The sequence below is a fragment of the Homo sapiens genome, chromosome 14 (assembly GCF_000001405.40).
Source record: "Homo sapiens chromosome 14, GRCh38.p14 Primary Assembly".
In the NCBI taxonomy this organism is placed as follows: Eukaryota; Metazoa; Chordata; class Mammalia; order Primates; family Hominidae; genus Homo; species Homo sapiens.
Genome location: NC_000014.9, coordinates 88069629 through 88092309, shown reverse-complemented (window position 1 = coordinate 88092309; position 22681 = coordinate 88069629). Strand labels below are relative to the sequence as shown.

At 38.4% G+C, this 22681-nt stretch overlaps 1 long non-coding RNA gene across 1 annotated transcript in view; it reads right to left on the bottom strand.

Moving 5' to 3' along the window:
* Positions 1-4963: 4963 nt before the first annotated feature.
* The window catches only part of HISLA (HIF1A stabilizing long noncoding RNA), a 62797-nt gene continuing 45079 nt past the window's right edge, over positions 4964-22681 (bottom strand). Inside the window, exons 3-4 of the long non-coding RNA NR_046094.1 lie at positions 8155-8273; positions 4964-5482 (exon numbers count right to left, since the gene is read on the bottom strand). This is a non-coding gene — a long non-coding RNA (HIF1A stabilizing long noncoding RNA). The remainder of the gene's footprint in view (positions 5483-8154; positions 8274-22681) is intronic.

Below are 22681 nucleotides of genomic sequence, written 5' to 3'. Positions count from 1 at the left end.
TAAGAGGTCAGTAAAATTCTTTTGAATTGATGAACAAATGAACTGAAAACAGGTTTTTCCCAGCAAACTTCCAACTCCTCTAAAATGTTTGGAAGTAATCTTACTTCTCCCACATCCTCCTTTTTTCATTGATGACTTCACCATCCATTTACCCAGTCTTGGAGTGAAAGCATATGGGGCGGGAGGGTGCAATTAACACCTTCTTCTCTCTTGTTTCCTACATCCTGTCAATAAGTCCAACAACTATTCTCAGATCTATTATCTCCATTAATTCATTCACCCTGTTCCTGCCTCAGACCATCGCCTTTCACCTAGGCAGCCTTAGGGACTTGTTCCAATATAGGTTTTACTGCCATGACAGAGATTAAACATAACAGTATTTTAAAACACAAGATAGAAGTGATTCTCTCTGTCACATAATGATCCAGGACTGTTTGGGGTCTCTTTCTTTGCAGGGGTTCAGATTCCTCTTGTGAAACCCAGAGGTTTCACATGTAATTTAAACTCACATCCCATTTGTCAGGATTAGTAACATGGCTCATCTCAGTGCAAGGGGATAGCTGGGAAATGTAATTGTGTTAGTCTGTTTTCATGCTGCTGATAAAGACATACCTGAGACTGGGAAATTTACAAAAGAAAGAGGTTTAATGGACTCACAGTTCCACGTGGCTGGGGAGGCCTCATAATCATGGTAGAAGGCAAGGAGGACCAAGTCACGTCTTACATGGATGGCAAAAGGCAGAGAGAGAGCTTGTGCAGGGAAATTCCCCCTTATAAAACCATCAGGTTTCATGAGACTTATTCACTCTCATGAGAACAGCATGAGAAAGACCTGCCCCCATGGTTCAATTATCTCCCACCAGGTCCCTCTCACAACACGTGGGAATTCAAGATGAAGTTTGGGTGGGGACACAGCCAAACCATATCATTAATCTTCATTCTGAATAGCCTTGCATCCAGGTAAATTTTTATCCCTATGGAAGAAGAGAGAATGGATATTGGTGGGCAGCCTGAACCCTCAACCTTATCTCCTAACTGGCTTCCCTGCTCCTGGCCTCAACTAATTTGCCCTTTTCCTCAACTCATAACAAAGGCAATCTGGTCATACCTTTGTCTGCTCAAAAACATTCAACAAGCTCCTCTCTATTGACGGATAAACTTTTAGCTCCCAGGGTGGACTGAATGGTCTATATGTTCTGGTTCCTGCCCAAGCTGCCTCCTATTTCTGTCCCTTCGGTAACTTACTTTCTAACTGCACTCTGGTATTTTTTAGTGAATAAAATGGGGTTTCTTGCTTCAGCACCTTAGTACATGCTACTGCTTCTTTAGGGATGGTATTCCACCTGATGAATTTCTAGTTGACTTAAAAAGCTAAGCTCAGAAGTCATTTCCATCAAGAAGTCTTTGTTAACCTTCCATCTCCCACCACTAACCAAGATAATTAATTGGTCACTCATTGCCACCTCATAGGTGCATTTGCCTATTTTTGCCTTTAATATATTATGTAGTCATTTATCTGTTCACGTACTTATCATCTCTTTCACATCATGAACATGATCGGATTCAACTCAGATATCCTCAGAGCTCAGTATGGTGCTTGCTACTGAGCAGTGGACAGTGAAAGAGAGGAAAGTAGAGTTTTGCATGGTGTTATATGCTAGAAAGAATATTGGACTAGCAGTTACTGGGCTTTCATGCCATCCTATAATTTATTAGCCTGAGTGACCAAGGACATATCACATTCCCTCTCTGGGCTTCAGCTTTCTCATCCTTAATAGGAGGGTTGGCTCAATAATCTGTAAGTTTCTTCCAGATCTAAAAGTTAGTAATTTTCTTATTTTTATAATATAGCAAGTTGAAATGTAACCCTCCTCCACACCAATATGTTACATTCACACAGCTGTGATTTTGCTAAAAATGGACACTTTCTAAATGTTAAAACAGTACATGTTGGAGAATAGTCAATTTAGATCCCAAAATCCTCACTCCACTAAAGGATAAACACTAAAGCTTTGGATCCCACTCAGTGTAAAACCATTCCAGAATGGAGATGTGAAATGGCATTGTTTAAAAGGCTGCATCCAGATATATTTGCCTACCAAATAAATCTTGGATCTGAAAGTGTTGTCATTTAAATGCAGCTAACAAATGCACCGTGGATTCTCTCTATGACATGGGTCCATAATGTGGCGAATTCTATACAACCCCTTTGTGTTGCCTTTTCTTTATTGAATTACACTGGGAATCTTGAAGGGTCTCAGTAACACCATTCTTTTCCATCTGAGCTCTGAAACAATTGAAAAGAAGACAAAGTTGTTTAGCAGATGGAGCTAAGCCTATCAGCTTTATTGGTGTGAAAGATAATATGGAAAAGTATGGCTTACATTTGTGGCCAAGGCAGCTTCCTAGTACTGAGCCCTAGAATTAGACAGACATCCCCTAGCCAGGCTAGATTAGGATAAGCTTGTTCCCTAGCAAGTGCATGAATTAAGCATGCTCAGTTTCTCCTTACAAACTCACCATGGCAGGGACTGCTACCTCTTCCCTCAAATCTCTCCTCCTCCTCCTTCTTCTTCTTCTTCTTCTTCTTCTTCTTCTTCTTCTTCTTCTTCTTGAGGAATACAACTTCCACTTTTTAGTGGGGCATGGCAGCTCCCCAGAATAAAGACTACATTTCCCAGTCTCCTTTGCAGTTAGGTGTGGCCATATGGCTTGGTTTAAGTGGACAGAAGTAAGGGAAATGTTGTGCTCAATTTTTAGGCAGAGTAAAGACATGCTTTTCTCCCTAGTTTTTATTCTTTCTTCTGACAAGAATGTGGATCTGGGGTGTCCATTCTGGATCATGAAATGGAAACTGGAATTTGTGAATGACAAGCAAATTGGAAAGAACCTGCGGCCCTGGAGACATCATGCTATCCCTAGATGGCTTACCTCAACGTTTATTTATGGGAGAGAGATGACCTTTTTTAGTTTAGTTCTTTTTTTTTTTTTTTTTTTTGAGATGGAGTTTCACTGTTGTCACCCAGGCTGGAGTGTAGTGGCATGATCTCAGCTCACTGCAACCTCCACCTCCCAGATTAAAGTGATTCTCCTGCCTCAGCCTCCCAAGTACCTGGGATTACAGATGTTCGCCACCACACCTGGCTAATTTTTGTATTTTTAGTAGAGATGGGGTTTCATAGTGTTGGCCAGGTTGTTCTTGAACTCCTCATCTCAAGTGATCCACCTTGGCCTCCCAAAGTGCTGGGATTACAAGTGTGAGCCACTGTGCCTGGCTAGAGAAGACCTTTATCTTGTTTAAGTCACTATTATTTGGAGTTTCCTGTCCCTTAAGGCTGGGTCCTATTCTAACCTATATACTCTCCAATCAAATGAATGATTCCATCTCCTCCAGACAGAACGTTACACTAATTGATATCCCTCCACACAGAAGGGAGAGTTGGGAGTGGGGGAGGAGAGTTCCCCCTCTGACAAGTTTATTCATTCAACAAATTATTATATGCCACTTGTTATGTGCAAAATACTGCTCTAAGCACTTTACAATAATTAAATTAATCCTCATAGTGCTCCTATAAGCTAGGCACTAATAATATTATCATCTCACAGATGAGGAAGCAGAGGCACAGGCAGGTTAGGGAACTTGCGCCAGGTGACATTGCTTGGAAGTAATGGAGTTTGGGTAAAAGCTTGGGCTGTCTACCTCCAGAGCTCCTGCTTTTCATTGCTACCTTATGCAGTGTCTTGTGAGAGACAGGAACAGACACTCTCGTGTTACCTCCAGTAAGGGAAGACTGTATTTAGAATCAATGGAGAGGTCAGAAAAATGAGAAAAATGTCTTAGTGATCACCTGAGATGCCCTGGTGTCTGGTCATCTCCTCAGCTGCATGAGCTGGTAGCTACTTTTGTGGCACCAATATGGTGACTCAGTCACTTCCTACTGCTGCCAATCACCACTTCTCAGGCTTCTCGTCTTTATTTCGCTCAATTATTGGCTGTTTCTACTCAGTTACCATATGACATCTTATACATGTCTTCTGCTACCCATGGCTTCCTAATTTTGTCTTCTTAATGTGTACACATTTCTGCTTATCTTATTTTCCATTAACAATAAATAGTCTTCTCTAAACAGAGAACTGATGAAATCAGCCAGTTGTCTTCCAGTACTGAATGTCCAGTTGGGTAAGGCTTTTGAGCCAGTCACCGTTTTTGGATAGTCTGCCCAGCCTCTCAAGATCACCAAGAGTGCTGCAGAATATGTCTCACCTTCAAAGACTCTTTGCCATATAGTTTCTCACTCAGTTTCTCTAAGCAGGAGCCATGGTCAGCAGGGAGTTTGGATATGCTGTCCCTATTATTTTCTCCTCATTATTTGTTCTCTTTATATCCTATGAGTGTGAGGGGAAGTCTGAATTGTTTTCATAATAACCAAAGACATGGGATATTCAGTGTTTGAATGGGCTATTCAATGTATGCCTTTTCTTTTCCTATATATCATCAAAAGAAAATGGAATAAGCTTTGGACATGTACCCAAAGATATCTTTCAACTCTTACATCTAGTCTAAACATTGCACAGTCTTCTTCATAGGTGGTTGGCCAGCCTATCACTAAATGCCTTTGGATCAGTGGCTACTCTGGTTCAATCTGCTGTGACCAGAGTATTGGTTATGAACAAGTATGGAGACTGTAGTCTTCTTCATAGATTCTTCTCTAAGAATAGTAGCAGAAGACAGGGCATAGGAAGGTTTGGCGTGGGGAAAGATGGGTTGATTCACTCAAGGTTTCATGGGTTGAATATAATTTTTGCATAACCATTGATTTCTGAACACTTTTTAGTGACTCTAGGTGTTTAGAATTTGAATTAGGAGGTAACCAATTATAGTAGAAAAGAGCACTGGACTGGAAGTTCTAATCTGAGCTCCCTGACAAAGGAAGAGAGCGGGTCCCTGGTCTCTTTTCTTTCATTTTCTTTTCCTCCTTTATTTTCATTACAGGCGTACAGAAATTGATTAATTACAATCTTTAGTTCATGACTTACTCTTATTATTGATTTGTAAATGGCTTGCTTTTATTTGTTTAGTTACTTATTAGTAACTTACTACTGGTGAACTATATTTTAAAACAAAAGCTAAGCTTTTTACAATAATTGATATCTCCTTGCATTAGTTTTTTTTATTGCTGCATAACAAATTACTACAAATTTAGCAGTTTAAAATAATATCCATATATTTTCTCACAGGTTCTGTGGGTCAAGAGTTTGGAGAGAACTTAACTGGGTCTTCCATACCAGGTGTCACAAGGCCTAAATCATGGTGTTGGGCAGACTGTGATCTCATCTTGAGGCAGGACAAGGAAAGCTCCCTCAGTTGGTTGGCTGAATTTGTTTCCTTGAGGCTGTAGATGTGGAAGCTTGCATCTTCAAAGTCAGCATCATGTCCTTTGCAGGAACATTGACGAAGCTGGAGACCATTATCCTTAGAAAACTAACACAGGAACAGAGAACCAATATTGCATGTTCTCACTTGCAAGTGGGAGCCAAATGATGAGAACACATGGACACATAGAGGGGAACAACAGACACTGAGGCCTTCTGGAGGATGGAGAATGGGAGGAGGGAGAGGGTCAGGAAAAATAACTAAAAGATACTAGGCTTAATACCTAGGTGATGAAATAATCTGTACAACAAACCTCTGTGACACGATTTTACCTATATCACACCCCTGCATATATACCCCTGAACTTAAATTAAAAGTAAAAAAAAAAATCAGCAATGAAGAGAAAGAGTTTCTGCTGCTTTAAGTACCTGACTTCTAAACTCATTTTAAGGGCTCTCCTGATTAGGTAAGCCCCACCCAGGGTAATTTATCTTTTGATTATTTAAATCCAATTGTTAGGGGCTTTAATTACATCTTCAAAATTCCTTCATCTTTACCATACAACAGGACTTAATTACAGAAGGGATACCCCATCACCTTTGTCACATTGTATTGGTTAGGAGAAAGTTACAGATCCCACCTACACTTAAGGGGAAGTGATTATACAAGAGTGTGGGTCACCTGCGGACATTTAAGAATTCTGCCTGCCACACTACCCCTATGGAATTCCTCCAAATTCCCACACTCCTGACTCTCTCCCTCCAAATCTCGTCATTCCTTAGCTTTCCTTTCTCTATCAACTTATTTACCTTGAGATTTGCTTTTTAGTCAGTTGGTATTATACTGCTAAGATTCACCCATATTGACATATGTTTTTATAATCCATTCATTTAAACTCTACTTAATATTCCATTAAGTGAATTTTTATGCGATGAATTAATTCACTCTCATGTTGATGGACATTTGAATTGTTTCTAGATTTTTTGCTACTGTGAAAATGCTGATGCAAACATTTTTGCACATGTCTCTTGTTGATGTATAAGAATGTATTTTGAGGATATATGTAGGAGTGAAATTTCTGGGTCACAGGATATATTAATTTCAACTTTAGTAGAGAATGTCAAATTTTTCTAAATTCACATTTCTATCAGCAACATACAGATCCTGAGGCTCTATTTTATCTCTTGGTATAGATTGATTTTTACATTTTTGCCTGAAAAAGCCATGGGAATTGGTACCCCATTCTGGCCTTAATTGCATTTCCCGGCTCCCTGATAATGTTCAACACCTCTTTGAATGTTTGCAAGCCATGTGTTTCATCTGCAGAACATCTGCCCATGGATTTCCCTATTTCTTATTGAATTGTTTGTCTTATTTTAATATTTATGTGTAGGCATTATTTAGACATTCAGCTTTACTTTTCTTGCCAGAAGTATAAAGGAATTGGGGAAGATGCTTGTTAAGTTCCTTCATCTGTAAATCGGGATAATCGTTCTTGCCATGCTTACTTTTCAAAGCTGATGCAAAGATCAAATGAAAAAATATATGTGAAAGCACTCTGTACACTAAAAAGGAAGGAATGACTTGTTTTAGCGTAAATAAGCCTGATAACTTGTAAATATGGAAACATTCAACTTTGAATTGGGAGGCAATTTAGTGTGGTGTTTAAACACACAGATGGTTGCAACCAGACTGCCTGGGTCCAAACCTTCACTCCAGCAGATACTAATGATGTGAACTTAGGTGATTTATGTAACCTCCATGTCCCAATTTCCTTATCTAACAAATGAGAGGTAGTCAAGTCTCTACCTCAAAGAGATTTTTTATAGGATTGAATGAATTAATGTATAGATAAGACTGAGAACAGTATCTAGCAAATAATTAGCACTATGTTAATACCTGTTGAGAATATTACTTGACTTGGATTTCCACAGTTCCTGCTGAATGTTCTGCTAATCAAATTGAGGACAGTTACTTCCACACACTCCCATACATGTACATTCTTTTCATATTGACCCATTTCTAACAGGTCAAAAAAGTTCATTTTTTTCTTTCATGAATAACTCTTGAGTATGGAATTAGTGGCTGGTGGAAAAATATTAACTCAGGCCACTGAAGTATACATGTAATAATAGAATACAAATAATACATTATATAATAATAATATATCATAGAATGTGTAATTCTGCCTCTAAGCTCTTATCCTGGTTTAATAGCTGGTGATCCTGTAAGGGGTATTGAATTACTTATTCCAGGCTGCGTGAAGCATGACAACAAGGCATGATAGACCTTAAATTGCACTGCTTTGTTGAGCCTGAAATCACATTTGAGGCCATAGTTATTGTCCAAGTAAAATTGACTGCCAATTATTTGAATAAAGAGAAGTGGTATTGTCTTATATTAGTTATCTTTTTTTCTCATTAATGAAGTTCATTTGGGCCCATTTGTCTACCTTTTCTTTGTTCTTCTGCGACTTTCTTTAGACTACTGAATCCATAGTTGGCTTTTATCCACTCCAGACAGATAGAAGGAGTCCGATTCTTCTAGTGAATGTATTTTTAGCAACAATTAAAGCTTATGTATCCTGCTTTTTGAATGCATCCTGCAGCCTTCAGAACCACCTGCATTCAGCCTTCAGGGACCTGGACTGCTTTGCTGATGGTTTAGCTATCATCGGAAGGCATAAACACTGCAGGTTGTGTGTAAGCTTGAGAGGGTAGCTAATTATGCTAAACAAGAAATATTAATAATGCAGGATGTGCAAACAAAAACGCTTTTACCAATTTCAAGACATTATTCTTCCTTTCTTCTTCCTGCTCTCTCCCTCCCCACTCTCTTCTACTCATCTGAAGAACATAATAGTAGCAGAAGGTGGGGCTCCTCCGGCAGATACTGGATCCTAAAAAAGCGAGAGATGACAATGACAATAAAATTACCCATCCTGAGAAAGAGAAACACCATTTTTATCTGTCTTGGAGCTGGAATTTTATGAAAGGTTTGGAAACCATGGCAGTGCAGAAACTGGAAGAAATTAAACAAAACTGGTAAAGGCTCTCACGGAGAGTCCAGTCAAGTGTTAGGGTAGGATCTTGTCAGAGACATCCTGGGTCACTTCCTTCCAGACCTGAACAAGGGGAGGCTTGGCATGTGGAGAGGTAAGGGTTGGGTCCACTGGGAGGACAAACTCTTTTTTCCTGCCATTGGAGTAAGAACGTCTGAATAAACATTATTCAGGAGGCCCTGTCAGCTGATCTAAACTTAGTTCTCTTAGGCTAAGCCCCCCAAAAGAGTCTTTCAAGATCATGGACAGGTATTCTGCTTATCTTTTGCTGTGTAACCAAATATCCCAAAACGTGTTGGCTTGAAATAATGACTTATGATTCTCTGTTGATGGTTGATGGGCTTGGCTTGGCAGTTCTTGTTGGGCTGTCTCACATGGTTGCACTTAGATAGCTGCAGGAGCTGGCGTCATCAGAAGGCCTAAATGAAATAGATATCAGCCTGGCCTCGGTACTCACATGTCCGGTCCCTAATGCCCTTCCATGTGACAAATATGGCACAACATCGCCTCTGCCATGTTCTATTGTTCTAAACAGCGAAAGGCCAACCCAAATTCACCCAGAGATTGGAGTCACCTGTAGGTACTAAGAGGAACCCATTAGGAATAGGATGGGGGCTGTCTTTGGAGACAAACTACTACACAGGTACCCACCCCTTGGGAAGTTTCCCAGGAAACATACCCACAGAGAAGCACTGGAGACCTTTAGTGCAGGGCCTAGCAGGAATTCCTTACTGGTGAACTACTTTTCAACCTTTGGCTTTCAGCTAAAACATTACTTTCCCTAGGATGGCTGTCCAAGGCTCTGTCATTAAATTAGGTTTTCCAGCATTTTGGTTTTATAGCATTTATCACAGTTTGTAATGGCATATTTCTATGATTATTGATTTAACATATGTCTTCAACAGTGGACTGAACTCTCTGAGGACAGGTCCTCTGCTTTGCTTTTTTTTTTTAATACTTTAAGTTTTAGGGTACATGTGCACAATGTGCAGGTTAGTTACATATGTATACATGTGACGTGCTGGTGTGCTGCATCCACTAACTCGTCATCTAGCATTAGGTTTATCTCCCGATGCTATCCCTCCCCCCTCCCCCTACCCCATAACAGTCCCCAGAGTGTGATGTTCCCCTTCCTGTGTCCATGTGTTCTCATTGTTCAATTCCCACCTATGAGTGAGAATATGCGGTGTTTGGTTTTTTGTTCTTGTGATAGTTTACTGAGAATGATGATTTCTAATTTCATCCATATCCCTACAAAGGACATGAACTCATCATTTTTTATGGCTGCATAGTATTCCATGGTGTATATGTGCCACATTTTCTTAATCCAGTCTATCATTGTTGGACATTTCGGTTGGTTCCAAGTCTTTGCTATTGTGAATAGTGCCGCAATAAACATACGTGTGCATGTGTCTTTATAGCAGCATGATTTATAGTCCTTTGGGTATATACCCAGTAATGGGATGGCTGGGTCAAATGGTATTTCTAGTTCTAGATCCCTGAGGAATTGCCACACTGACTTCCACAATGGTTGAACTAGTTTACAGTCCCACCAACAGTGTAAAAGTGTTCCTATTTCTCCACATCCTCTCCAGGTGCTCTGCTTTGAGTGCTCCCCACTGATTCCCTGCACTTAGCTTGGTGCTGGCTCTCAGTAAGACAACAGGCAACAGTTATAGTGGAATGAAGACATAGGTGAGTGGTTAACATCAACATATCTGATCTTGCCAACCAGCTTCTATGGTTCGCGCAGAGATTTCTACAAAGAGGAGTCTCCCTTTCATTCACTGATTACGTTTTAAAATCAAAATTTACTGAGAGAGAGAATTTCAGAGCCTCATGGATTCCAGATCAAGAACACCTAGTTTAGGTGTTACAGCATAAAACATACTGCACTTATATTTTTATTTATATTATTTTGGATTTATTTAGAATGGCTACGGAATGTCCTTCTTTGATGAGAAGATAAAAAACCTTCTACATCCTAGATGTTTATAATAACATAAAAGCTAGAGTTTGTGTCAGAAGAGCTAGCTTCTATAAGAGGTTGAAAAGTTCATAAAATATTCCAAGCGTCAGGGTCAGAGGTTAGAGTATTTTACTTTAGGACCCGTTTGCATTTCAGATCATGCTTGCATTTCATGACAAATTAAATGTACCCTTGAATCTGCTCTGAACATATTTCACATGAGTATTTATCTGAATGTCAATAAAATACAGAGCAGTTGCAAAATCATCCAGCAAGGATGAAGTTTTATTGTTTCAGGTCAGTTAACCGTCACTCTGAGAGTAAAACAGTGAGTGCCTAATGCACTGAAGTGAGGAGTATGGATTTTGTTCTAAATGAAGCTATTGGAAGTTTTTCAGCTGGAGAAAGACAGGATCATACATTTTAAAGAAATATCCCAGGTGCTGAGTGGAGTTTAGACTATAGTTTATGAATGAAAGAAGAAGACTAGCCAAGAAGCTACTGCAATTGTCCAGGTGGGACATATAGGTAGCAGTCAAGACCAGAGGTGAATGACTAGAATAATGAAGGAATTTAAAATCATATCATATTTATACTTAAAAAGCCAGGAGATGCTTAGATGTTTCAACTGGGAATAGAGAGATGCCTTCAAATATATGACAGCTGTCATGTAAAAGATGGATTAAAATTATTCTGAATTTCGAAAGGCAGAACCATGAGCAGAAACCACAGGGCATGAGATCCAGGCTCAGAATAATTTTATCTCTGAGCCATGCAAAGATGAAAGGGGCTGCCTGGGGAGGCCGTGAGTTCCCATTCCCGACTGTGTTCCAGTAGGGACTAGAGGACCTCTCAGAGCAAATGTGGTGGGTCTAGGGAGGGATCGTGGGACCAGATGACACTTAGATGTCTTTTGGAGATTTGGGGAAATGTGGCAGTAATGAGAACGGTGGATATTCTCATTTTGGTGTTACACCACTAAGGTAGAGAAAATTAACAGTTATGTCACTCTTCTTGAAGCTTTTCAGACAAGGACTCCAGAGTATTTGGCACATAGCATATCCAAGGTGGTGTGTTGCTACTGTTGACCTATTTAGTAGAGATGCATAAGCTTTTCTTTTCACTTCTTGGCTACATTTCTCAGAATATTTTTCTTTAATCTTCTTTAGAGAGATGCAGTAGGGGAAGACTCTAAGATCTGGATTAGAGAAACCTAGCTTGAAATTCTCTGTCCACAATGCTAATTGCATGAGTGTCAGCAAATTATTTAATGGCTCTGGGCCTCATTTAATCACCTATTAAATGGGGATAACACTACCTATTTCTACAGTTGTTGTAAGAACTAATCCATACAAAGTTCCTAGCATCCTGGAAGATTTTAATACATAGTAATTGTATGTAGATAAAAAACCCCAAAACAAAAACCATTTACTTATGCAAGCCAATGAAACTTAGTCATTATGTATACAAATTGGGAGGTACAAATCACAGTAAGTGAAGAGTTAACTGGCAAAAGGAAATGCTCACTGATTGAGTTGATGAAGTTCTAAACTTCAGGATATTATTTATTTTTTTTCTCTAATTTGATGCATCTTTAAAGATAACCATTTATACAAATTCTTAAACACTCTAAGAAATTAGCCACAGTTCAGAGGCAATAATGTATGATTCTCGGAGCTTTCTCCAGGCTAGTGCTGGGAAGCGGGAGGGAGTAATTGAGCCTCTGGGATGAGTGCACTTCTTCCTGTGGATACTGGGTGGGAGTGAAATTGGTCTTCAAATAAACATGATTCATGGCTTAGTGGAGAAACTGCAAAGTTCCCCATGAAAATGGAATAGCAAGTCAGTTCATTATACTGTAGTTATTGATATTGCAATCTGCTCCCAATGGAGGCAATTACAAATCCATTTAGGAAAGAGTGTGATTGGGACTTTTGTTTGTATTCACCTAACCATTAGTTGCCTGGACAATGTTTTTCAAGTGAGACTCCTCCACCACCTTTGGGTTCTATTCATTTCTATATCTCTAGCACCTGTCACAGTTGCCTGGCACATTGATGGGTTTTGTTAATATTTGCTGATTCATTAGAAATTCCCTCATTATGCAGTCTCTGATGTGCTTTTGTCCACCCAGCACAGGATGCTCAGAAACTGCTTATAACATTACCTTTTTGTATATATGCATTATATGTGCCCCCTCACCCCAGAGGCTTTGGTTCTCACCTAGTACCAATCTTGAACGCACGTCCTCCACAGCTCTTATATTTACAGTGAATGACCCATTCACACCAATGCAATAGTGTGCATAACCTGCTTATGCATGAGACTTTCCCTATTTTCTCAGAGTTTCTTGTAAAGCCCCAAAGCTGAAGAGAGCAGGCAAGTTCCCCCATATTTTTACAACAGTGTCAGGAAGCTGGCAGAGGTGCCCTCTATGGCTTTCTGGGTAATCTATTGATACTCTGACTATCACTACCGCCCACCACATCCTAACTATCCTATATAAAGTGAAGACATGACATTTGAAGGAAACTCACCTAATAGTTCATCGGTGTGGGGGAATTTAGGCTTAGAGGGGAGTGCTGTGACATTGTCATCTCCAGATCCACATAACAGAGTTCCAAGAAAACTGTCACAGAGTTTAGAAGTGGGTGCTTCAAGAAGAGGAGGCTGTATCTCACTCTCTCTCTGGATGCTGGCTGAGCTCAGAAGCATGGCAGCCACTCTAGCTCTGCCACAGGGAGTGGAGGCAGAGAATTCCTGAAGGACTTGACTCCTTGACACTGGAGCTTAGAGTGATCCCTGCATATAGAGAATGGGGCATAATTACAACCTGGACGATTGTGGAGGTATGAGGATGGATGGTGCAGCCTGCAATGGCTGGGTTGAGAAAAAGGATAAGAGGGCCAGCATTTGGCAAGCATTTTCCTTGCCACAGGAGCTGGCCAGGCTTAAGTGATCTAGAAAGCATCTTCCTAAGAGGGCAGCACATGTGAGTGGGGACTCAACTGTGGAAAGTACCATGGTGGGGGGCAGGAGCTAAGAGATGGTCCAAAGAGAGCAACTGGAGAGCACGCCATCCCCTCCAGGACCTGAATAGTAAGGTAGTTCCCACTGTGACTCTGAGAACTCAGACACATCTCACAAGAAGCCAGCATTTGAAAGTGGGCAACACAGAAGGGCCACCTAGTGTCAGCCAAGGGAGAAAGATAACAGTGACTATCTAAGGGGGAAAAGAGACTTTTGCCTCTTCCTTTAATCCCTCTTCATGCACTGACCCCAAAAAGGGCAGAAGAGAGGGAAGAAGGTGGAAGAACAGGTCATGCTCAACCTCTACTGCAAGTCCCAAGCCAAGTTCAAGCCTGACTGGAGGAGTGGGCAGTGGAGGAAGGTAGTGAGGAGAAAAGAAAGGGAAAGGGCCTGAAATTAGATGTGAGGTTCAAGTTTTATTTTAGATTAGACAGAATGTTAGAGTATGTAAAAATCTCCTTTAGAAAGGAGATTGTAAAAAAACAAAAGGGATTAGATAATCACTGCATCTACCTGGGATGTCATTAAAAGGTAGAGAAAGGCGATCCATCAGAATATGCAGAAAGCAGTGGAAAGAGAAAAATAAAACTATTACTGTTTGTATTCTTACTAAGTTCAGACTATTCATTAAAATGCTTCCATGCACGATGTAGATGTCACTGAAGAATTCGTAGGTGATATGGAAGTGGGACTTATATCTCCCAGGGCCCACTTACATCACACCTCAGCAGCCTCATTAGATGTGCTTTTCCTTTCTGAATCTCACCAGCTCTGTGGAGCTGGTGGGTTACTCTCCCTCATGGTGCTCATTGTCTCCTCTCTGGATGCAAACTTGCATACCCCTCCTCAGAACACACTTTAGTGAGACCCCATGTGAAGAGCATGGCATTGAGGTCACTGTGCATGGGAAGGCCGCTTACATTCATGTACACTCACCCTTCTTCCAAGAATGTCAGTAGCCAGGTTTAGAGATTGAGCGTGGTCTAATAGAAGACACTTTCATTTAGGCTAATTAAAGCAGGTATTGTGCTCAGAAAAGAAATCAAAGACAACTTCTTAGAGTAATCCTGGGTTCTCACTGAAAAATGCAGTATGATCTCTTGGGTGTTAGATATGGAAGGCTCACAAGATGTTTGGTATGTGCTGTTTAATACCCTGTTTCCAACATTCAGGCGAATTTCCTATTTGGGGACATTGTCTCCACCTAATTGAAAATTGCTGAGCTCTTACATTATTACCCAGATGGTTTTATAAAATGGTTTTGAGTTCTCATTTGCTTTTAGTAGATGAGTTCATTTGGAAAAGAAAATTTAAACACAATATTAGCAAATGAAAATGACAGTGATAGGTCTTTTTTGTGTGGGAATCACAAGAGGATAGGAAATGATGCAATTAAAAGCATCCTTTGAGATGGCTTTTCCATGGTAAGATTGTGGTAGAAGCTAAGGAGTTACGGCACTTAATATTTACACATTGTAATGGCCTTTTGACTGTCTATACTTCAGCAGTCTGTCCAAGTGTGCAAATTTTGAAGACAGGGACATTTAATCTACCTGCAATCCTGTTGATTACGTCTCCAAAATATATTTTCAATCAATTCTCTTCTCTTTCTCTTTTTTTTTTTTTTTTTTTTGTAGTTGGAGTTTGGCTCTTGTTGCCCAGGCTGGAGTGCAGTGGCAAGATCTCGGCTCACTGCAACATCTGCCTCCCGGGTTCAAGCAATTCTCCTGCCTCAGCCTCCCAAGTAGCTGGGATTACAGGCATATGCCACCACGCCTGGCTAATTTTTGTACTGACATCAAGTGATCCACCTGCCTCAGCCTCCCAAAGTGCTGGATTTACAGGCGTGAGCCAGTGTGTCCAGCCCGATTCTTTTATCTTTACCTCCATTGCCACTACTTTAGTCTGGGCTCCTAATTGTCTCTTTGCTTCAGCCCATTCCCCTAATAGTAGCTGATGTGATATTAGAAAGCTAATGGAGGACTTACGACTTAAAATAGTGAATTGAAATGAACTCACAGGATCTCTATTCTCCAATACTTAATAAATAGGGGGCAGGGGAGAGTACAAACCAGCCAAAAATATATCAACAATTTGATTGAATAAACTTAGACAAAATCCTCTCGCTCTGTCTGCATCTCTCCATATTTGGGAGAATTGGTGTAAAGGCCCAGGCTTTTGCTGTCTCACCAGAATGGCTTCTAGGGGATAGCTACTGGGTTAGAAGCAGGGTTAGGCTAAGTCCTCCCCTCCTTTCCACACTAGAACCTCTCTTCTCATTTTTTGGTGGATAAAAAAGTTCCTCTCTGTGGTGGCCATGAGAATGTGCCTCTCAGATCTCCAACTGTAGGGACCAAGGGCTCCAGCTGCTTGGCTGTGAAATCCATCACTGAGTTTGTGTCAAATCCGTGTTTCCCAGCTATTGGCTGTGCCCGGCAGCGACACTGAAGCAGACCCATTTCTGAGAGATGCAAGACTCCACTGATGGGCAATTTTGGCTCGAGAGCTCTGCAATGGCCTTGTCCAACTTTCCTTAGACTGCATAGCAATCTAGCAAGCTTCTACCTAGCCTTCCTTCCTTCTCTCTCTTCTTTACTCAAAGTCAGACCTACATCACAGTCTAATGGTTCTCTCAGCCTTTCCTGGAAGTCTCCAATTTCTTTCACAGACATTCCCCTAATAACTTTCTTGCACATTTAGTCTTGTCTTGATGCCTGCTTCTCGGAGGACCCAAACTGATACACTGGCACAGAGAATATGTTTAATAAAAGTATTCAAGAAATGAATGACCTTATTGAAGGAATTTAAAAGTCTTTTCATTAAATGTTTTTCAAGTTAATAAACTTTTTTTTCAAAGAGTAGTTTTAGGTTCAGAGAAAATTTGTGTAGAAAGTACAGAGAGTTCCCACATACCCCATTACCTCCACACAGTCACAAGCTCCCCCACTGTGGACATCCTACACCACAGTGGTACCTTTTTTACAATTGACGAAACTATATTGACATATCATTGTCACCCAAAGTCCATAGATTACATTAGCATTTACTTTCGGTTTTGTACATTTTATGGGTTTGGACAAATGTATAATGATATGTATTCCTCATTGCGGTATCATGCAGAATAGTTTCACTACCCTAAAATTTTCTGTGCTTTATGTATTCATCCCTCCCTCCCTGTAGCCCCTGGCAACCACTAATATTTTTACTGCCTCCATAGTTTTGCCTTTTCCAGAATGTCATATAGTTGGAATCACAGAGTTTACAGCCTTTTTAGATTGTGTCCTTTCCCTTAGTAATATGCATTTAAATTTCTTCCATGCCTTTTTATGGTTTGATAGCTAATTTATTTTTAGCTGTGAATAGTATTCCATTGTCTAGATGTATCGTAGCTTATTTGTTCATTCACCTAGTGAAGGACATCTTGGTTGCTCCCAAGGTTTGGCAATCATTAACAAAGCTGTTATAAATATCCAAGTGCAGGTTTTTGTGTGAACATAAGCCTTCAATCATTTGGGTAAAAAATATGATTGATTGATGGATTGTATAGTAAGAGTATGTTTAGTTTTGTAAGAAACTGCCAAATTGTCTTCCAAAGTGGTTGTATTACTTTGCATTTTCACCAGCAATGAGTGGGAGTTCCTGTTCTTTCACATCCTCCCCAGCATTTGACGTTGTCAGTGTTTTGGATTTTGGCCATTCTAATAGGTGTGCAGTGGTATCTCATTGTTTTAATTTGCAATTCCCTAATGGCATTTGATGTTGAACATTTTTTCATATGTTTACTTTAACATCTTCTTTGGTGAGGTGTCTGTTCAGGTATTTTTCTTATTTTAAAATCAACTAGTTTTTTTTCTTATTGCTGAATTTAGCTCTTTGTATATTTTGGATACTAGTCCTTTATAAGATGTGTGTCTCACAAATATTTTCTCCTAGTCTCTGGCTAGTCTTCTCATTCTCTTGATATTGTCTTTTGCAGAGCAGAAGTTCTCAATTTCAAAGAAGTCCAGCTTATCGAATATTTATTTTATGGGTCATGCCTTTCGTGTTGTATTTAAAAAGTCATTGTCACATCCAAGTTCGCCTAGATTTTCTCCTATGTTATCTTCTAGGAATTCTACAGTTTTGAATTTAAGTCTTTTATATATTTTGAATTAATTTTTGAGAAGAGTGTAAGGTCTGTGTCTCTGTTTTTTTATGTGGATGTCTAGTTGTTCTAATACCATTCATTGAAACACAATATTTTTTCCCATTGAATAGCCATTGCTCCTTTGTTAAAGCTAGTTGGCTATACTCATGCAGTTCAATTTTGGGGCTCTCTACTCATCCCATTAATTGTTGTTGTTGTTGTTGTTTTGCTCTAATTTTTCATCAATACCACATGGTCTTTATTACTGTAGCTTTAATTACTGTGTTTTAATTACTGTAGTAAATATAGAAGTCAGGTACTGTCAGTCTTCTGACTTTGTTTTGCTTCTACAATATTGAGTTGGCTCTTCTGAGTCTTTTGACTCTCCATATACATTTTAGATTCAATTTGTTGATATTTATAAAATATCTTGCTGAGATTTTAATTGAGATTGCATTAAATCTCTAATTCAACTTGGGTAAAATTGACATATTGACAATATTAAGTCTTCTGTCCATGAACATAGAATATGTCTTTATTTACTTTGTTCTGCTTTGGTATCTTTCATTAGAGTTTTTTAGTTTTCCACAGACAGATACTGTATATATTTTGCTGTATTTATATCTAAGAATTTTTGTGAGGATGCTGATGTAAATGGTAATATGTTTTTAATTTCAAATTTCATTCATTCATTGCTGGTATAAAGGAAAGTGATTGGCTTTTATATATTAGCTTCTATCCTGCAAACTTTGTATAATTGTTTATTAGTTTTGTCAATTATTTGGAATTTTCTATATAGACAATCATTTCACCTGTAAACAGAAGCAGATTTATTTCTTCCTTCCTCATTGATATAACTTTATTTATTTTCTTGTCTTATTACATTAGCTAGAACTTCTGGTATCATGTTGAAAAGCAGTAGTCAGCAGGGACATCCTTGTCGTGATTCTGATCTTATCAGGAAAGCTTTGAGTTTCTCACCATTAAACATGATGTTAGCTGTAGGCTTTTTTTTTTTTTTTTTTAGTAGATTTTATTTATCAAATTGAGGAAGTCCCCCTCTATTTCTAGCATGCTGAGATTTTTAAAAAATCATAAATGGATATTGGATTTTGTTAAATGCTTTTTCTACATCTATTGATATGTTAATGTGATTTTTCTTCTTTAGCCTCTTGATGTGATGGATTATATTAATTCATTTTCAAATGTTGAACTAGCCTAACATACCTGAGATAAATTCCACTTGGTAGTGGTATACAATTATTTTAACACATTTTTGGATTTGACTTACTAAGTCTTTGTTGAAGATTTTTGCATCTCATCTTTCATGTTCATAAAATACATTTATCTATAGTTTATTTTCTTAAAATGTCTCTGTCTGGTTTTGATATTAGGGTAATGCTGGCCTTGTAGAATGAATTAGGATGGATACCGTCTGCTTTTTTTGGGAAGAGATTGTAGAGAATTGGCATAGTGTCTTCTTTAAATGTTTGGTAGATTTTACCAGTGATTGCTCTGGGACTGGTGCTGTCTGTTTTGGGAAGTTATTGATCATTGATTTAATTTCTTTAACAGATGTAGGGCTATTTAGATTGTCTTTTTTTTCTTGTTTGAGTTTTGGTATATTCTATTTTTCAAGGAATTGGTCAATTTTATCTAGGTATCACAGTAGTGGCCATAGGGTTGTTTATACTATTCCTTATTATCTTTTTAATGTCTATGAGTTCTGTAGTGATGTTCCCGCTTTCATTCCTGATACTAGCAATTTGTGTCTTCTCTTCTACTCTTGGTGCCTGGCTAGAGGCTTATCAATTTTATTTATCTTTCCAAAGAACTAGTTTTAGTTTTATTGATTTTCTATATTGAGTTCCTGTTTTCAATTTTATTGATTTCTGCTCAATTTGAAATTAAGCTGCTTTTCTTATTTTGGTATCCTAAGGTGGAAGCATAAACTATCGATTTTAGATACTTTTTATTTTCTAATATATGCATTCAATGCCATAAATTTCTCTCTAAGCACTGCTTTTGCTGCATCCCGCAAATTTTGATAAGTTGTATTTTCATTTAGTTCCAAATTAAAAAATTGAGATTTCTTTTTTGAGGCATGTGTTATTTAGAAGTGCAGTTTAATCTTCAATTATCTTGGGATTTTGCAGCTGTCTTTCTGTTACTGATTTCAAGTTTAATTTCACTGTAGTCTGGAAGTAGATGTTTTATGATATTTATCTTTAAAAATTTGTTAAGGCATGTTTTATGACCCCAAATGTGGTCTATCCTGGTTAATGTTCCATGTGAGCTTGAGAAGAATACGTAATCTGCTGTTGTTGGATGAAGTAGTCTATAAATTTCAATTATATCCAGTTGATTGATGGTGCTGTTGAGTTCAACAATGTGCTTACTGATTTTCTGCCTGAATCAGTCCATTTCTAATAAGACATGTTAAAATGTCTAACCCTAACAGTGGATTCACCCATTTCTCCTTACAGTTTTATCAGTTTTTACCTCACATATTTTGATACTGTGTTGTTAAGTGCATACATATTGAGGATTATTATGTTTCCATGAAGTATTTACCTCCTTTATCATTATGTAATAACTCTATCCATTCTTGATAACATTCCTTGCTCTAAAGTCTGCTCTGTCTGAAATTAGTATAGTTACTTCCTCTTTTTTTAAATTAGTGTTAGCATATTATATTTTCCCTCATCACTTTTAATCTCCATGTGTCTTTATATTTAAAGTGGGTTTCTTCTAGACGGCATATAGTTTGGTCTTGTTTTTGATCCACTCTAAAAATCTCTGTCTTTTAATTGGTATATTTCTATCATTAACATTTAAAATGATTATTGATATAGTTTGATTAATATATATCATATTCATTAACATTTTTATTTGTGTTTTTGTTCTTTCTTCCTAGTTTGCCTTCCACACTTTTTCTGCCTTTTGTGGTTTTAATTGAGCATTGTATGAGATTCAATTTTATCTCCTTTCTTAGCATATCACTTATAGTCAATTATGGTTTTTGTTTGTTTGTTTGACCTTGCGCTCCCCCAGGCTGGAGTGCAGTGGTGTGATTATAGCTCACTGCAGCCTTGAACTCCTGGGCTCAAGTGATCCTCTCACCATGGCCTCCCAAAACACTAGGATTACAGGTGTGAGCCATCCTACCTGGCCCCTATGCTTTTTTAAAAAAACTATTTTTAGTGCTTGCCCTGGAGTTTGCAATGTACATATATAATCCAACCCCACTTTCAAGTAACACTACACCCCTTCACAGGTAGTGCAAGTACCTTATAATAATGACAACGAAATATTCCTAATTCCTCTCTCCTGTCCTTTGTAACTTGTAATTCATTTCACTTACACATAAACATACACACATGAGCATATGTAATCAAACATATTTTTGTTATTATTTTGAACAAACTGCTATCTATTAGATCATTAAGATTAAGAAACATAAATGTTTTCATTTTATCTAAACTTATTTCTTCTCTGATGCTTTTTTTTTTGTAGGTCTGAGTTTCTGACTTACATTATTTTTCTTCTCTCTGAAAAACTTCTAACATTTCTTGCAAGCAGATCTACTGGAAACAAATTCCCTCAAATTTTGTTTGCCTGAGAAAGTCTTTATTTCTCATTCACTTTTGAAGAATAATTTCATGGGATACAGAATCCTAAGTTGGTGGATTTTTTTTTTTTTTGGTTCTAAATGCTTTAAATATTTCCTTCCACTCTCTTGCTTGCATGGTTTCTAAAAAGAAGTCAAATATAATTATTATTTTTGCTTCTTTATAGGTAAGATTTTTTTCCTCTGACTTCTTCCATGATTTTTTCTTTATCTTTGATTTTCTGAAGTTTGAATATGATGTACTGAGGTGTACTTTATTTTGGCATTTACCTGGCTTGATCGTCTCTGAGCTTTCTGTATCTGTTGATTAGGTGTCTGACATTAATTTGGGAATTTCTCAGTCATTATTGCTTCAAATACTTTTTTCTGTACCTTTCTCTTTTTATTCTCCTTCTGGTGTTACCAGTATGTGTAGTTTATACCATTTGTAGTTTTCTCATAGTTCTTGGCTATTTGGTCCTATTTTTTCTCAATCTTTTTTTCTCTTTGCTTTTTAGTTTTAAAAGTTTCTGTTGTCATATCCTCAAACTCGGAGATCCTTTTTTCATTTTTTTTTTACCTTTTATTTTGGAATTGGGGGTACTTGAGCAGGTTTGTTACAAAGATATATTGTATGATGCTGAGGACTAGAGTATGAATGTACTCCAGGTAGTGAGCATAGTATGCAATAGGTAGTTTTTCAGCCCTTGCCTCCCTCCCTGTCTCCCCTCTCTGGTAGTTCCCAGTATCTATTTTTCCTGTCTTTATGTCCATGTACACCCAATGTTTAAGAGCAGAGATTCTTTCCTCAGTCATGTTCAGGTTTCTAATGAACCCATCAAAGACATTTTTTACTTCTGTTACATTGTATTTCATCTCCAGCATTTTGTTTCTTTCCTTCTCGGAATTTTTATCTTTTTACTTACATCATCCGTTTTTTCATGTTGTCTACTTTTGCATTAAAGCCCTTAGCATATTAATCATAGTTATTTTAATTTCCTAGTCTGATAATGCCAGTATTTCTGTACATCTGACTCTAGTTCTGATGCTTGTTTAGACTCTTCAAACTATGTTTTCTTTAGCCTTGTAATTTTTCAATGAAAGGTGGTGTCTTTGTTCATTTTTCATTGTTGTAACAGAACACCTGAGACAGGGTAGTTTATTTTGAAAAGAGGTTTATTTGGCTCATGATTCTGGTGGCTGGGAAGTTCAAAATTGGGCAACTACATCTGGTGAGGGCCTTAGGCCACTTCAACTAACAGTGAAAAATGGAAGTGAAAAATGGAGCTAGTGTATGCTAAGACATTGCATGGTAAAAGAGGAAGTTGGAGTGAAGGAGTGGTAAAAGGTGCCAGCGTCTTTAATAACCAGCTGTTTTGGGAACTATTAGAAGGAGAACACACTCAGTCCCAAGGGAGGTCATTCATCTATTCATGAAGGATCCTTCCTTATGACTCAAACACCTCCCACCAGGCTCCGCCTCCCAACACTGCTACATTGGGGATCAAATT